Source organism: Homo sapiens, chromosome X (genome assembly GCF_000001405.40).
Source record: "Homo sapiens chromosome X, GRCh38.p14 Primary Assembly".
NCBI lineage: Eukaryota > Metazoa > Chordata > Mammalia > Primates > Hominidae > Homo > Homo sapiens.
Genome location: NC_000023.11, coordinates 24,538,491 through 24,556,718, shown reverse-complemented (window position 1 = coordinate 24,556,718; position 18,228 = coordinate 24,538,491). Strand labels below are relative to the sequence as shown.

Genomic DNA, 18,228 nt, shown 5'->3' with positions numbered 1-18,228 from the left:
GTATACTTGGTGATCAACTTCTTTAAGAAACCATCAAGTAGAAACCAATCAAGAGTAAAATCTGAAGATCTCATTAAGAGCCCAAATATCTGTAGCTGATAGAAGCCTTATGTTAGTCTTTGACACGACTATAATGTGTATTCTAGAAAAGGCACCATATTGACTAAATATCAGCTGCAGTTGACCAAAATGTGAGAAACTTGGAGAAATGGTCAGAGCAGGGTTGACATGTACTGTTCCTAGAAACAATTTTTTTTTATTTTTTGACACAGAGTCTCGCTCTGTCACCCAGGCTGGAGTGCAGTGGTGGGATCTCGGCTCACTGCAACCTCCGCCTCCCAGGTTCAAGCGATTCTCCTGCCTCAGCCTCCTGAGTAGCTGGGATTACAGGCACACGCCACCATGCCTGGGCTAATTTTTTTTTTTTTTTTTTTGTATCTTTAGTAGAGATGGGGTTTTATCATGTTGGCCAGGCCAGTCTCGAACTTTTGACCTCAAGTGATCTGCCTGTCTCGGCCTCCCAAAGTGCTAGGATTTACAGGTGTGAGCCACCGCACCCGGCTTCACCTATAAACAATTTCTATTCTCCTTAACTTTATAATCTTTCTTGAGTGGAGGTGAAATAATTAAGCTACAAGCTTCCTGTACTCTATTCATAAAGAGTTCTGATGGAGGGATTAGCTACAAGTAAAATATTTGATCTGTAACCTTCGATTTAAAAAGAATTGATGATTCTCTACTTGAAAGAGTTGGAGTACTTTACCCTTTCCACAGGGACCTTTTCAACGGACTATACTTGCAAATATCCCTGTCACTCTAAAATGTCCAAGTCCAAAGAAAACTTGTCATCATCTGCCATGTGCGTAGCAGGACATGACCCATTACATAGCTTGAGAAGATAACCAGTCTTTTTAATCTGTTTGGTAGTCATGTTCCACTGGGAATATGTTGACAAAATGCCATTTACCAGCCTGATCACAGACCCACCTTAACACCACTGAGTCACTGATTCTTTTTCTATTTGTTTCTATATCTGGTACCCAGGGATTAATGATAGATGAAAGAAGTGGAAGAGGTGTGTATTCGTTTCCTACTGCTCTAACAAATTACAACAAACACAGAGGCTTAAGACAACACAAATTTATTAAATTACAGTCCTGAAGGTCAGAAGTCCAAAATGAGTCTTACTGGGCTAAAATTAAGGTGTTGGCAGGTGGCAGCTGTTCCTGTCTGGAGGCTCTAGGGGAGAATCTATTTTCTTGCCCTTTCCAGCTTCTAGAGGTTACCTGCATTTCTTGGCTCATGGCCCCCTAACATCTTCAAAGCCAGCAGTAGCCAGTCCAGTCTTTCTCATGTCACATCACTCTGACACTGACTCTTCTTCTGCCTCCTCCTCTTATAAGAGCCCTTGTAATCACATTGGGCCTATCCAGATAACCCCAGGAGCATTTCCCTATTTTCAGGTCATCAGCAACTTTAATTCCTTCTTCATATGTAATACAACGTATTCCTAGGTTCTGAGGATTAGGATATGGACATTTTTGGGGAACCATTATTTTCTCTAACCCAAGGTGACTGAGGACAGTGGTCACAAATCCTTGAATCTTTTCCCAAGTCCTGACAGAGTTGAGGAGCAGTAACTCTCATACAAATAGAGATAATTTCTTCTTTTTACCATTTCTATTTAACAGCTACCAGTGATGACCTTGCTAAAATGTTTGAGTTTTGATGTCCACAAGACAAGCATGGGCCGGGCATGGTGGCTCACGGCTGTAATCCCAGCACTTTGAGAGGCTGAGGTGGGTAGATCAGGTTAGGAGTTCGAGACCAGCCTGGCCAACATGGGGAAACCCCATCTCTACTAAAAATACAAAAATTAGTCAGGTGTGGTGGCATGTGCCTGTAGTCCCAGCTACTCGGGAGGCTGAGGCAGGAGAGTCGCTTGAACCTGGGAGGTGGAGGTTGCAGTGAGCCGAGATCGTGCCACTGTACTGCAGCCTGACAGAGCGAGATTCTGTCTAAAACATATGCACGCACACACACACACACACACACACACACACACACACACACACACACACGAAGCATGGAATAGATATAACGGGGATATCTGACCCAAAGGAACATGCTCCCTGGTCCATGAGGAGAGGAAGTGTTGAAACCTCAACTCATGAACATGGAGCCATGGCCAATAGGGAAGGAAGTTAAAGGACCCCACCCCCCATTTCCTTGTACATATCCTCCAATCCATACTTGGCTATAACAAGAAGTGAAAATGGTAACTAACCAAAGTCTTTGACCATTGGACATGTTCCCACTGAAACAAACCCAGGGGTACAGATTCTGGCTGTCAGGCACAATCTGTTTCCTGCCTATTTGCCCTCTGTTTTTTTGTTTTTCTTTTTGTTTTTGTTTTCTGGTTCTTTGGATGCTGATCACAGCCAGTTTAAGCTAGGAATCACTTTCAGCCACAACACACTTTCAAGCTACTCCATGCTCCTTTCTAGAGTAACTCATTTTCCTTTGAAAGTCGTGGCCTTTGATCCACATTTTAACTTAAGGTCTGGCATACATTTCCATCCGAAGTACTCAACAAACATTTGAGTGGGCCACTAGGTGCTGCGGACACAAAGACTAGAGGGGACACAATCCCTGCCCCTTTGCCCTCAATTTCAGTTTACTAGTCTGCCTCTCAGTCTCCTGACTGGCCCTGTCTTTGACTTTACTGAGCTCTTAAGGAAAACTCCATGTTTCTGGCCACTGAAACTTCTGATTCTACCAATAGAATCTTACAATTATTTTACTTACTAATTTTACATGATTTTACTCATCTCTTTGGGGGTGATGTGCTCTAACTGTCCCTGAGTACAAAGATTACCAACTCTGAGAGTGAGGGAAAATAGGAAAACCAGATTTTTAAAAGATTTTCTATTCATTTGAAACTATTTTCTGAGTATGCTGAAAAGAGGAGACTGACAATGATATCCCTTAGCTAGGCCCATGAATGGCAGTAAGGTTCTGTTTTGTGAGGGCCTTGCATGAAATAGTTTAAATGATCCTAATTGGACAGGGCTGCTTGATGGATGAGATGGTCATTCTCAGTCTCCCCTCCATTCTTTGATTGCAGAGTGCCTGACGGGCCTCCCTCACCTGAATAATGGGGCATTTATTTGCCCTTATAAACTGTTATTTCATGACCAGTTGAAGCCCTAGGAGAAGAGCAGTTTTCATATAGGAAGCTCCATTCCAATTATTGTGCTAAGGTGACAATAATTATCTCTAACTTTAGAAATAATTCCACTATTATATTAAGCTGTCACTAAGGAACTGTTGGAAGCTTCTGCATCCATCACTGTTGTTGAAATCATTAACATGTTTATTTTGTTTGAGGACTTGCAAATACTGTTTGGACAAGAATGCCAGAGAATGTAAGAGTAGCATTAGCCTAACTTGGAGTTTCTTGCAGAGAAGGAAACGGCAAAACTGCTTAGTTGGCCCAAATCCAAACTGACAAGCCTTTTCTCCTTTTTAAGTATTTCCCAATTGCTGTTAGGCAGATTATCAAGAAAGTCGCAAAGCTCGTAGGCCTGCTCTGTGCCAGGGAGACATGATTTGGTGCAGCCAGCATTCTAGCTTTTCCCAATGACTGGTCTATAGTTTGAACTTTATCGGTGGTTTTCAACCCTGTTGCATGTTGGAATCTCCCAGGGAACTCAAAAAAAGACTCCTCAGCACCCCTCTAATGGATCTGAAGTGGAGCCAGATTGAGACCCTCTGGGCTATGGTAATACGTCAGTTCAGGGAACAAAATAAGCCCGAAAGTAAATGGATTCAAAGAGGTAGATGGTCAATGGCCTGTGTAGCAAAGACGAGAACTGGTCTGCCATGTGGCCACACTAGGAAATGGTCTAAGTATCATTTTATGTTTTTTAACCAAGGAGAGAGAGAGATGATTATGTTGATGAAAGTGTCATCAGTGGGCAGAGGACAAAGGATTCATTGACAAAGGATTCATTTTAACACCAACGTTTAAAAATGACACAATTGCTGTAAAGCACCCAGCCTGGTGACTGGTGAAAACGGGTGCTCGACGCTAATTTTAAATAATTCAACAGATGAAATGGCTGTCCAATATGGTTGCCACTAGCCACACGTGGCTATTTAAATTCAGAAAATTAAATAAAATGTAAAATTCAGTTCCTCAGCTGCACTAGCCACATTTTAACTGTTGAGGTGGCTAGTGGTGGCCATATTGGACAGCACAGATGTAGCACGTTTCCAGCACTGCAGAGAGTCCTAGTGGTGGATGGTGGTCTACAGAAACCCTTCCCAGACGCAACCCCTTCTACACGATGCCTTATGATTTATTCATGTGATCAAAGTGTAAGTACGTTATTATGAAGCAAATATCTGAAAATATCAGCAGATAATCACTTGTAAGCAAGCATTATTAAGTCATTTGGAAAGGATTTTGAAATCAATGACAAAAAAGTAAAAATGTACACTCAAGTGTGATGCTCTGTGGCAGCTACATGGAACTGTGCAGTCTTGAGTTAAATAGTCTCTTTGTGAGCCTAAACTGCACATACTTTATGGATTTCAAACCAGGGCAGGAGTGGCTGCTACGAAAACACGATTCCCAAGTCATCAATGATGTCTTAACACAGCAGCTGACCTTTGGTAAAATGCAGATGGATAATACTAAAATTCTGAGTAAAACCACTGTCAATTTCAAGAGTCACTGCTTTTATATTCCATATACATAGATATATAAAAACAACATGAAAGTAGGTTAGTAATTGCTTCCCATTTTAGGTTTTTAAAGAGTGCCACAAAACATCAAACCTGGAGTCTGGAATCCACGTAGTCCAATTCCCTAATTTTGTTCATTCATTCATTCATTCATTCATTCATTTTTGAGACAGGGTCTCACTCTGTCACCCAGGCTGGAGTGCAGTGACGTGATCATGGCTCACTGTAGCCTCGACCTCACAGGCTCAAGCAATCCTCCCGCTTCAGCTTCCTGAGTAGCTGGGCCTACAGGTGTGCATCACCACACCCGGCTAATTTTCGTATTTTTTTCTAGAAATGGGGGTTTCGCTATGTTGCCCAGGCTGTTCTCAAACTCCTGGGCTCAAGTGATCTTCTCGCCTTGACCTCCCAAAATGTTGGGATTACAGGCATGAGCCACTCTGCCCAGAAACTCCCTAATTTTATAGATGAGGAAACTAAGGTACAGTTAACAGAGATAATTGGTAGCTGAACAAAGACAAACGTGATTTCCTGATATGAACACTCCCCAAGGACCATTCAAAACCAAGGCATTTGCCTCAAATTTTTGAGAACTTTTGTTTTTTAGCGTTAAACATGGAAGATAGCAGTTATGTGGCTCTCCAATTAAAAAATGAAAAGGCACCTCTTCACCACGAAATGTTTAGTAAAAGAATTACACACTGCTAAAGAGCTTGAGGACTACATCTGTTAATTATTCAGAAAGCACTTAACTGTAGCCAAATGTCTTTGGAGGCACTGGGTTCTGGTGTCGGTGCTGCCCAGTTCATTATAAAAGACCATGGAACCAATAGCACTTTCATTGAAAAACTCAAGTTGTTTGTCTTCTGAAGATGCCGTGTGGCAGCAGTTTGCAATGTTAGTTTTTAAAACAATTCCCCTGGAGCATTTGTCAATATAGATTCCTGGGCCTCCCACTGCCCCCTAGAGAATCAATCAGTAGAAGAGCTGAGGTAGGGCCCAGGAATCTGCATAAGCCAGCATTTCAGGTCGTTCTGGTGTGGGTGGGCCATGGCCAGGCCATCTCAGTTTGCCCAGGACCGTGCCAGTGTACACCTGCTTACACGGTTTACAGAAACAATTGTTAATAGTGCTCTTTTTCATTCTCAAAAGTGTCCTGACTTAGACAGTACAGTGTATGGCCCTCTTTCTTCTATCCATGGACCATATTTTGAAAAATACCAACTCTAACAGTTTACTATTATACAGCTACTATATTTCACCCATAGGATGCTCCCCAAAAAAGGTGAGCTCCATGTTCCCTGCTAGGGACTCCAAATAACCTATTTTCCTTCACTCAATCATAAGACTTTAAGCAAGCATCCTTGTCTATTCCCAGCAATTTGCAAAGGTGCTTGGTGCCGTTAATGTACTGAATTTCAGAAACCAAGAGAGAGAAGTTTATAGGTGGGAGTGATGAGAAATAGACGAGGGCTCACAAAACACCACAGTGACGCACAGTGAATCACAACTACCATTTTATTGTTCTGATTATTGGGGTACAGAATTGTCCATGTGCTCCAGGACTAGTTGGGCTATGACAGACACCACAGATTGCTCTGCAACTTCCGGGGAACATTATCTGAGTCACATGCTTCTCTGGTCATGTTTTTCCAACATCAAAATGAAACACTTTTCTCCATGGAATGTGGAGTGACAAATTATCTCAAACCAAAGTCATCCTTCATCATGACGGCATGTACCAACCAGGCCACACAACAGCATAGAACTGAGGGGACCAAGCTTCTTTCTATAAACAAAGCTCCTTGGCAACACTGGACTTGTGTGTACATTTATCACTGTAAGTAGGCTGACAGAGGCACAAAGCGAACCAGGTCAGATTTTGACTTATGAGTACAAATATTGTAATGAACTTTTATTTGATGTATAATACTTTTACCCTATTAGCAGCTGTTCCCAGTTTAGACACCGCTTTTATGAGTCAAGGAGTTATGATGAAAAATCAGCAAAGTAAGGAACTTTACATTTCATTGCAGCATCAGATATGTTCACAATGGTATATTTTATTCCACAGTGCTGTTTCTTATTTGGTTCAAGCATTTCTTAGGTAGTCACAAGTTGTTTTAGATCTGGGAAATATTTAAATTTCAAGCACTTGCATGCTTTTGAGAGGATGTGAACTTAGAGCAGCAGATGGTGTGTATATAAACCATAAGCAGCAACTATGACCTCAAATGATTTTAACACCAAGGAACTCTGCAGAAATTAGGGTCAGCCAGAATGCCAAAGTGGTATGTTCCGTTCTTCTTAAAAATGGGTCCTGTTTTCCAGGACTGACTCAAGCACAACTCCAGTTTCTAATCACAATGTAGCACTCAGTTCTACACGAGAACTAAGCATCACAATGAGAACAGAGCAGCACAATTGTAACAATGAACATAATGGAAATGAGGGAGGCAATAGAATTCAATTCCTCCAACAGTGAATAAACTCAATTTGAATTTTTTAAAACACTCCATACTTTACATTTCCTAAGTAAACTTTGCCTTGACTGTCCACTCAAGAGTCAAGATACACTTGGTAATTTTTAAATAGATGCACAATTCATTGGTCAAAATCACATATCAGCTCAATTCATTGGTCAAAATCACACACCTTGCTTGAAAAGGACTTAATATGATGCTTTCCCCAGGAGTTACCCAGGCACCTAGGAGAAAAGGAGCAGATCTAGGATCTCATCAAGCCCCTTATATTTTTTTAACGCTGGTTACAAGGCTGAGAAGATTCTGCCTGGTCCCTCTTCGGTGGCAGGCAGTCTCAAGTTTTGTCAAATCCCTAAAGTGACAGACTTTAGCTGTAAATATTCTAAAACATGCTCATTAAACATTTGGGATATTAACTTCAACATTTTTTCAATGAAGGCATAAGTCGGTTTTTCCTGTAAGTATATAGTGCTTTTAAAAATATGGACTGAGGTTTCCCATGGTTGTAACAGTTCAGATGACAAAAAGCAAATGGAATTTATAAGAAAGCGGTGCCACGATAGAAACAACAGTATAACATTTTCTACTCATCCTGTTTTCACAAACTCCTTTTGTGACACGACATTTAGCACGGCTCAATGGCGGACACCACTGACTTCCAATCGGATTTCACTTTTGTAACTGCCTTTTTCATGTCTAGCATATGTGAAAAGCCAAAACAACTAGAATTGGATGTTAAGATTTCTTTTTTCTCTCAAAAAGAATCTCAAGGTATGAATATTTTAAAACATTAAGTGGTTCTGTTATTAATATGCATTCCATTCTAAGCTTGCCATTTTCAACCAATTTGGAAGGCAAAGATGAACTAAAGAGTAGTTAAAACCAGTGCTGTGTGCCAGAGTTAGACATTTCTTGACTTTGCTAACTGGAGGGCAAATATTACTCAGTACATACGTGATTGTTGATACTTGTGCTGTTTTGACCCATTTGCAAAAGTTATCCAGATTATTCAAATTAAGAAGCCACTTTTAGGTTCATTGAAGTTAGAACTATCTAATGGAATGTTCTTTTAAGTGAAAGCTTATTATCCCCAAAGGAGTCAGTTCCAATGGAAAATAGAGTCCTCACTGAAAAGCCAAAAAGCAAAATTATCAAACAAAATCAAATTGCAGGGTTGTTCTGTGAAAATCTCAGAGAAGCATGATAAAAGGGATCTATGCTTATCTCCTAGACAAAGGAAATTTGGATGTCATTTATCATGAAAAGAGCAAGGTTCAGGCTTCTTGGATAATCTTATGTTCCTGAGATTACAATACTCTAGTTTTGAAGCTCTAGCTCTGAAATTTACATATGAACTAACAAATCTGAACACACTGTAATAGAGTTCCAGAGATCTCCATGGGATTCTTATCAAAGGCTATTCCCTGAGACAGGCGGGGGTAGTGAAAATGTAATTCTCTGAGTACAAAAAAAATACATATAAAATCATTTTGATCTCTTTACTTTTCCCTTTAAAGAAATTACTAAAATAAAAAGATTTATCGCTATAGTCTAAACTCTTATGTTTTACCTTTGTAAATGTCTTTCTTTTAAATGAACACTTATTGCAAAGCCAGGCGTGGACGCGATGCTTTCATATACATTCTCTCTCCTGATACTTCTCTTAAAATCATCATTTGTATAGAAATAAAAATATGGTCTTACAATACACACAAAGTTAGTGAAACATTAAAATAATTAGCTAGAATACAATTGTAATTCTTTGCTTTTGGAAATTATAACATGAAAAAAGTTAAGCAAACTTAATGGAATCCTAAAATGAGTAGAACTTTTCAAGAATGCAATTGCAATCCTGTACTAGAAAATATAATGTGAAAAACAAATCCAAAATACGTCTCTATGTAAATTAAAGCTCAAGCCATGGTATTCAAAATTAAAATGATTTACATAATCTACTATACTTTGTGATTTTTTTAGTAATTAACCTTCCTGAGGTTGATTTTGTTCTCCTTAGTGTTTGCTTAACTAAAGTGCTTAATAAAATTTCTACATAATATATTACCCTCTCCATAGATGAATATTATTTTGAACTACAATCTGACAAAAATCTAACTACATTTAATTATGCTTGATTAATCCAAATGTCACTGAGAGATTTATAGAACAGAGAAATACTTTTCAGGTTAAGTTCATACTCTTCACTGTAAGCTTCCTGGATCCGGTATTACCACAAATTTACTATCTCACGTCTCTAATATTGTTTTTAACATCCCATAAAAAATATTCCCAATAGTCCAAACTGGACCATGGGACTCCAGAGATCAATCTCCGCTTCTTTTCATTTTCAAGAGACAGGCAAACCTCTATCAAAGAGGAAGTCACCACTTCCAATGGGAGGCACGTTGCCCCTGCAGCGCCACCAACACTTAAGGGGAAAGGATGGAGAGAACTGAAGTCAATTCTCCACCTTTCGGTGTTTTATACCAAAAAATGCACATACAGGATGCATTATGAACTTATTAAAACACTGTAAGGATATTAAGGCAAGATAAGGGGGCTGCTTTCTTTTAATGCAGGCACGTAACTATATCAGACATTTGCTTAGACACTTTCGGTAATGATGCCCTAAGGTGCTTTAGTTTATATGCAAATAAGTCTATTTAAAGGGTGACAAATTGGCCCTACCTCTGGGGATAATTAAACACATCCCATCTTCTTCTCCAGTTGTTAAATCTCCCACTGCTGGGTCACTCAGCTCTACCCCCAGGGATGACCAGACAGACAACATGTTCTAAGGCATGGAGGAACTGTCATGAGGAGCCACCTGTGTCACACACAAAGTAACAGTGTCCTGGCCACCCTAACCCTATCACCCAGATCATGGGGAATTCATGTCCCTATCTTAAAGACATGAAGATAGAAACAGAGGTTTCTCAGGAATTCTGTGACCAAAATATTGTTGTCATTTTATTTTCCTTTTGGGGGATGAACACAGCTGATACCAACCTGTGGACTTGAGAGGGAGGCCTTCCCAGATTATCCTTTCCTCCACCTCTGAAACAAGTTTAGAAGTGTTAAATAGGGTCTCTTCTGACAAGCAGCTGTTTTAGCTACAGCATCATCATCCAGATGCTTTAAACTTCTATTCAAATAATAAGTTCTGAAGTCCTAAAAAGACACATCCGGAAACTGCCATCATTATGGGGTTTTGTTACAAGGAAACAGCAGCCCACACTATTCAATGAAGTCTGATTGTAAAAGCTGCCTCCTCTCACCTGACCACAGTTCCCCATTGGTCAGCAAGACAATGAACTGAAATGGGCTCCCATCTGCTCTGTCTACCTGAAGCCACAGTGTGGGGACCTCGACAGGGTCCCCTACAAAGTTGAGTGCAGAGCCAGACACAGAAAACAGACTCTCCAAATTCAGATCAATCGACGTGAAGGTGAGAAAAACTCAGGAATCACTAACACTTCATCTTCTAAGGAACGCACCTGTCCATGATGAAAACAACATTGAGAAGATCTGGTGCTATCTTCTGCATCTCCCTTTCTGGCTGGATTTTTCTCCATAGCACTCATCTCTCAATCGTACTATTCAATGTCCTTTTTGTGTTTCTAGTCTGTCTCCCCTAATAGAAAGTGGGTTCATGAGGCAGGGATTTCTGTCTGCTTTGACCCCTGCCATGTGCCCAGCATTCAGCACAGTTTCTAGCACGCTGGAGACACTGGACAGTATTGCGATGGAGGACTAAAGGTAGCTTTCCTTCACATGACTCCTCTCTCTGCCACCCTCCCTTCGTTAACCTCTCTTACATGTGGGTACCGGTCTTCAAGTCTCCATTTCACACCAGGACAGACATTAGGGAAAGGCACTGCCCAGGGTGGAGCTTGGTGCATACAGCAAGGCTGTCACTAGTGCTCCTTTATCATTATGCTAGAGCTCTGAAGGTGACGAAAGCTTGCTGCCGGATGTCTGGTGGGATGTGCTGACCACTGAGGCAAAGAGGCTTCAATTCTACAAACAGGCCAAATAAAACCCCAGCCCCAGGATCTACCTACAAATGCACTTTCAAAACATTAACTCAGTGTGCTTTGGTGGTGGGCTCCAGGTCTCCAAACCATGTGAATATGTATTCATGAGAAACCAAAAGGAATCCTGATGAAGACTTAACACCTTTCTCTTTCTTGATGAACTAAATTTTAAAATGGGTTGATTGAAAAGACAGGTAAGAAAACCTGTGGCACAGTTAAGGTGTCAGAGATGTTAACCCCCTCAGTGGCACAGCTCCACCAACAACCTGTTCATAAAGAAGAGCTTAGGCGTCTCTTGGTAACTCTGGTGATGTGCTAGTTTGGAGTATTCTATCATATTTAATCAGCTAACTAATAATTGTCAATGGCTGATAACTTAAGTTCATTAAAATGTCATATGTCCTCTATTTTCAAACCAGAAGGTACTGATATCTCTAATCAATGAGACAGGAACTTGACTTAAAAGTTATCTTTCCACACAGAACAGTAAACAAAAATCCCGTATTGATTAAGTTAATCGTCCTTTCTTGCTGGCAATATTGCTTCCTTCTGTTTGCTCAAATGTAGATTATGAAGGACATTAGCTTCAAAGTCAATGTTTAAGCATCTGGACTGCTGAAAAGATGGCAGAATAAATGCATGTTTATATAAGTGCTCCTGCCCTCTGACCCACACATCCAAAAGTTGAACAACAAGCTGTCTATAATGAAACTAGTAAAAGCTACAACTCCATACCACGGACTCCAGGGCAATGTCTGACAGATACAACCAAGTTGGGGATGAATCGAAGAAGAGTTCTTGCATTTGCCAGGCATTTCTCCGAGTCTCCAGCAGCCACAACTGCTGGGCAGTTAATGAGAAGATTCCCAAGACTCTACTGATCATTTGTTAACTTGGCAAAACAGGACTGGCAACAGTCGGGAGAAGCTGGGCACACTCTGCGCGTGCATGTTTCCAGAAAAACGAGGACAGGCGGTTGAGATCTCAGATGAACCATGTGTGTTCATCCCCTCCGGTATCCAAAAGAGGAAGAGCGGCGAGAAGCAGGACCAGAGGAGAGAAACCAACTCTGGAGCCGATCTCACAAATGTGGGCTACATGGAATCCAGGAGGGCAGAAGTACAAACCCACCATGTTCCTGCTAGGATGACGACTAGTGGGAATGGGGAAATGCAAAGAGGATCTGTCTCCCAATGGGACCCGGCCACCCCCAGGGCAGAGGATTCAACAGTGTCTATGGAAGGCACTCACAGACAACATGTTCCAAGGAGGCTTCGTGTCACTCCTTATTCCCCCAAATCCAAACAGAATGAAAACCAAAAACACCCTCCACCACTACAACCCATCAAGAGCTAGCCTTAGGGTTCAAGTGCTAAGGTTATCCTTCAAACATGTCTCGCTCAAAAGAGAAGGAGTCAAGGAGGATTTACCCACACTCTTCTTGGACAGGTAAAACTGGTACCATGCAAAGATAAATAATAAGCAGAAGGGGTCATCATGATACTTGTGCATCAAGATAAAAGCAAAACAATACAAGAAAAGGAATGAAAGATGCAAAGGATAGATAAATACACTCTAGAAAAAGAATGAGCTCATAAACCACTAAAACTGTAGACAAAATTGTTCAGCACTGGAAGAAATACGCAATCAAAGAGGACAACATAATGAGCTCAGGAAAGAAAGAGATAAAAAATGAAACTAGGCTGGGCGCGGTGGCTCACACCTATAATCCAAGAACTTTGGGAGGCTGAGACTGGTGGATCACTTGAGGTCGGGAGTTTGAGACCAGCCTGGGCAACATGGTGAAACCCTGTCTCTACTAAAATACAAAAATTAGCCAGGCATGGTGGCATAAGCCTGTAGTCCCAGCTACTTAGGAGGCTGAGGCAGAAGAATTGCTTGAACCCGGGAGGCGGAGGTTGCAGTGAGCAGAGATCACACCACTGCACTCCAGCCTGGGTGACAGAGTGAGACACTATCTTGAAAAAAATAAAATAAAATAAAATAAAATAAATAAAACTGTAACAGAAGTGGAAGCCACATTACAAGGAACAAGCCCTAGAATCAACAGTACAGAAAACTGAGTCAGTCAGTGAAATGGAGGATAAGACTTGAGAAAAAAATCATACAGCATGAATGAAGAAAGATGAGATGAGTGCCATCTAAGGAAAGATAACTGTGAAGGACAGATGACAGAGAGCCAATATAAAAATGAAGTTTTCAAGAAGAGAACAGACTAAACTGATACAAAACGCAGTGAGGCTTGAAATGACCATATCTAATGCTCACTGCATTCCAGAAAAAGGCAACAGACAACAGTCAATCCTGAGATATACTCCAACGAAGTTACTAAATTTCAAGGATAAACAAAGAATTCAAGTATCCAGGGCAAACAATCAGGTCATCTACAAAAGGGGAAGAAAAATCCATCAGGACTCAGACCTGTCAGCACCACCAGATATGGACAACCATAAAGTAGCAATAACATCCTGTCTCCAGAGAATTCAAGGAAAAAGGCTGTGATCCAAGAATCCGATAGCCAGCCAAGTTATTGTTCGTAAGTAACAGCAACAGGAATACATTTGTAAATATGCAAGAAAACCCAACCGAAGCTGTAATCCAGTCTGCAAAAAAGATAAAAACATCAGCTCTCAAATGTGGAGTCTTTGTATGAAAGGGCTGGCAGTAAGCACTGAATTCATTCAGACACAGAATTAAGTCTAAATAACTCTAGTAATTACCTACAGCTATCCACTTTAAGTTGCCTGTCATTTTTGGTAAAAGCTGCCAAATCCATCTGATTATCTCCTCTAACTATGCCAAAATGGAAACACACAAAAGAAACCCTCTCCTGAACGGAATTAACTTGCTCTACAGATAATTTGGGGTTTAGAGCTTACCCTTTGAGGAATAGTATACTGAAGAAATTCCTCAAAAGAGATAATACAAATCACCTGGCGTACTGTTCCAAGCACCCAAGTGCTTGCTTTGGCCCTTCCATTGACTTACCATGCCACCTTGGCAAACTCCTTAATTGCTTTGGGATTCATACAAAAAACCGATATACCTGTGTAGTCCAGCTCATGGCATTGTAAGGATCAAATGGCATGCTGTATGCAAAAGGTCTTTGGAATCTATACACAAGGCTGTAAAACTATGTCACACTGTTTGGATGGAAAGAATTCTGTATTCAGGAGCCAAAATCAGATATTCAGAGACAAAAAAAGGAAGAGATGGCTCCTGCGGATCTATCCCTCCACTTCCTTGCATTTCTCTACATTTTAAAGTCATCTCTTAGCACTATAAAAAGGAAATTCAGCACTTTCACAGCTCCTGACTTGAACTTCCATATTTTTAATTTAGAGACAAGGATGGTTTAAGAACTTAGAAAGATGTTGCCCTACCACCCAAGGAAAATGTCTGACAGTTTTCTATCTTTGATTCACCTACTATTTATGAATATTATTCATTATTTTAATATTATTTATTAACATTGTTTATTAAGCACCTACTATGTGTCAGGCACTATTTTAAATAGACACAGTCCCCACTTAAAATAAAATAGAGTAAATGAAAGAGCAGTACAGAGGAATGGGAAAGAATTTAGCTGAAAAAGGGTCCATGTCTATTTGTGTTACAACCTATATGGGGGAAATCTGACCATTTGCTTATAGGCAAACCCAGTAAACAGCCAGATTCTCTGCCTAAATTAAAAGAATCATGTACAGTTGACAAACAGGATAAATGAATACTTGGGTAAAGAGGCTAGTAAGCCAGAAGAACACAGATGTTCCTGAAACTCTTCTTGCAGTTGCTTTAGGGTTAAAGATAAATTCTTAATGAAGAAAACAAAGACAGGAGAAGCAAGGTTGTACTGGGGTCAGATGGATGTGAGTAAGCCAAAAAGCGTGCTAGTAAAGAACTACCGATTAAGTCATGAAGACACTGAAATCAATCTTTACTTTTGAAAAACACTTGTAAAGGGAAGAATGTGATGAGATTTTTCTACACCATATTATCCATATTCGGCCCCTTACATGGTACTGCTTGTGAGGATGTGGTGATCGATGGGCCTTCCTCAAACAAGAGAAACGCTGTCAGAGTCAGGCAGTAGGCAGCACCCCCTAAACTGCTGCCTCCTCTCTCCTACAGTGTATCACACTTGAAAGCATAAAGGAGTATCGTTGGAAATTGAGGCCTAGGAAGATATTATCTCATGTTTATAAGGAAGCTAGGGTCGGCTGGGCGCAGTGGCTCGAACCTGTAATCCCAGCACTATGGGAGGCTGAGGTGGGTAGGTCACTTGAGGTCAGGAGTTCGAGACCAGCCTGGCCAACATGGTGAAACCCCGTCTCTACAAAAAAATACAAAAACTAGCTGGGCGTGGTGGTGCATGCCTGTAATCCCAGCTATTCGGGAGGCTGAGGCACAAGAATTGCTTGAACCTGGGAGGCGGAGGTTGCAGTGAGCCGAGATGGTGCCACTGCACTCCAGCCTAGGGGACAGAGTGAAACTGTGTCTCAAAAAAAAAAAAAAAAAAAAAAAAAAAAAAAAAAAAAAGGAAGCTAGGGTCTTTGCATGTAAAGGACCATTTTTTTTTTTTTTTACATCTTTTATGCCACACAAAAATAATCATATGGAACAGCCCCATCCCCAAGACACTGACTCGGTCCTCAGACCTATGGGCTTCCTATGACCCACCTCTCACCAGTCTCTCAGAAGTACATCAGTATTTCTTTTACCTGATTGATTACATATGAGTTCTCTGATGAGATCCTTCTAAGGATGGAAGAGATGAGCTCTTTCTAAAGATGAACGGAACTACCCTGAGCTCAGGTAATATAACGAAATAAAAGAAAACAAGATCCAGTGGAACTAAGAGAAACAGGAATGCAATCAAGCCACATGCAGCTGGTCAAAGCACACCTCATCTCAGGGAGAAATCCCCCACGGTGGTGGGAGAGGAGCTAATTGCATCGGTACTATCATATGACTAAAGCAGGATGAATGGTTTACAAGTCAGAACTTCTACATCAGTGGACTCAACACTTACAAATTGGACTGAAACATTTATATGGACATTAAAACGGGGCAGAAATCAAAGTAGATGATATATATGGAAAATTACCATGAAGAGAAGCACATCCTGTGGAGCTGTATATAGGATGCTGGTTTCAATCCGGATTCTTCGGTCACTTCTATTCCTAAGGGTAAATATAACATCATTCCTCTTTCCTTATCCCAAATCGTCTGCTAATTCCCACTTCCAACTTTTAGCAAAAAGGATTGTGAAAATCAGACTGAGGTGACAATTCTAAAACTAAGATGAATGAAAATGAAAATTATTAAGACCTGGAGCATTTTTCAAAAATAAACTAGAGAGGCCTTTTCCCTCTGATAGTCTATTTTACAACTAGTAAAGCGCATCATACAGAAACTTCCAATTCCTTAGAAGACTACAAAGGAATAAAATATGACACAGGTACAGTATTAGATGGATGGAAGTTTGACAGAAGCATAAAAACTCCACTTCACACTCTGTACAAATTTGGTATTGACCAGGAGGCAGTTTTTCACTTAAGATCTTTGAAACCAAGCAGTTGGGTGAAAAATTCTAAGATAACATTTCGAATGCTTTAATCAACAGACATATACAAATGAATTTTAAAATAAAACCAAGGCATCAATGAAGAAGATCTAACATGAAAGTCACCACATCTCACAATGAGAATCCGATCAGATGGAAGAAGGCAAAAGTCTAAATCATAGAGTGGCGGAGGGAGGCACGGGAGAGACGGAGGGCTCTGGGACTAAATCATCAGGGCATGGCCACCTGATGTCTTCCACTTTCAGGGTCCCAGGGCCCTAGGTGGAGGTTTGGGACAAATATGGTATTTGGTCACAAGGAGCAACAGTACGATCTGCTGTATCTGGAATGGGAAAGGCGCACAGAATCCTGGAAGGACTGAAGACATCAGATGCTATGATAACAAGATGGAGAGTACGAGGGCACAAGAGCTGTAAGGAGGCTCTGTGCTCTTCGGTGACAGGCATCAATCACACCACAGCAAGATGTCATTAAAAAGTTACTACTTTAGTGGAAGATCTGGAGTAGCTACAGGAAAAACTCTTTGGGAAAGTCCAGGTGGTAGAGAGAAAATACACATTTAAGCACTAGGAATAACTGTGATGCCACGCTCAGAGCAGGTGGGAGAAAGCAGTTCTCTCTGTTTGACTTGCAGAAGGCAATCTTTCTTCACAGAGAGGACCACAGCATTCAGTCCTCTAGAAAGTTCTATTAGTCTTGATCTTGTCTCTACAAAGAAAATAATGAGAATATCCATAGTGAGTTTGTGAGTACAACCTCCTCTGTTTTGACCAGGACTTTTAGAGTATTTCATTATAGTGATAATTCAAAAACCCTTGCCATATCTCAGAATTATTTTCTACAATTACTACAGAAATAGAATGACCATTTAATTACTTATATATACTTTAAAACGGTTCTTTACTGTCAGTGAAAACTCTGGTTAGAAATATAGAGTGACTGCTAAAAACTATGAGGTTTCTTTTTGGGGTGATGAAAATATGCTAAAGTTAGTGGGAAGGGCTGCACAACTCTGTGAATATACTAAAAAATATGGAATTGTATACTTTTATTTATTTATTTATTATTGAGATGGAGTCTCGCTCTGTCGCCCAGGCTGGAGTGCAGTGGCGTGATCTTGGCTCACTGCTGCCTATGCCTCCTGGGTTTGTCTCGTGCCTCAGCCTCCCAAGTAGCTGGGATTACAGGCACCCGCCACCACCGCCCGGCTAATTTTTGTATTTTTAATAGAGACGGGGTTTTGCCATGTTGTCCAGGCTGGTCTTGAACTTCTGACCTCAAGTGATCCACCCGCCATGGCCTCCCAAAGTGCTGGGATTACAGGCGTGAGCTACTGTGCCCGGCCAGAATT

At 40.8% G+C, this 18,228-nt stretch overlaps 1 protein-coding gene across 1 annotated transcript in view; it reads right to left on the bottom strand.

Annotated features, from left to right (window-relative positions):
- PDK3 (pyruvate dehydrogenase kinase 3) overlaps nt 6,253–18,228 on the bottom strand; it is an 85,181-nt gene continuing 73,205 nt past the window's right edge. Inside the window, exon 12 of the mRNA NM_001142386.3 lies at nt 6,253–17,585. Coding sequence (NP_001135858.1) covers nt 17,555–17,585 — 31 coding nt within the window. The 3' untranslated portion in view covers nt 6,253–17,554. The remainder of the gene's footprint in view (nt 17,586–18,228) is intronic.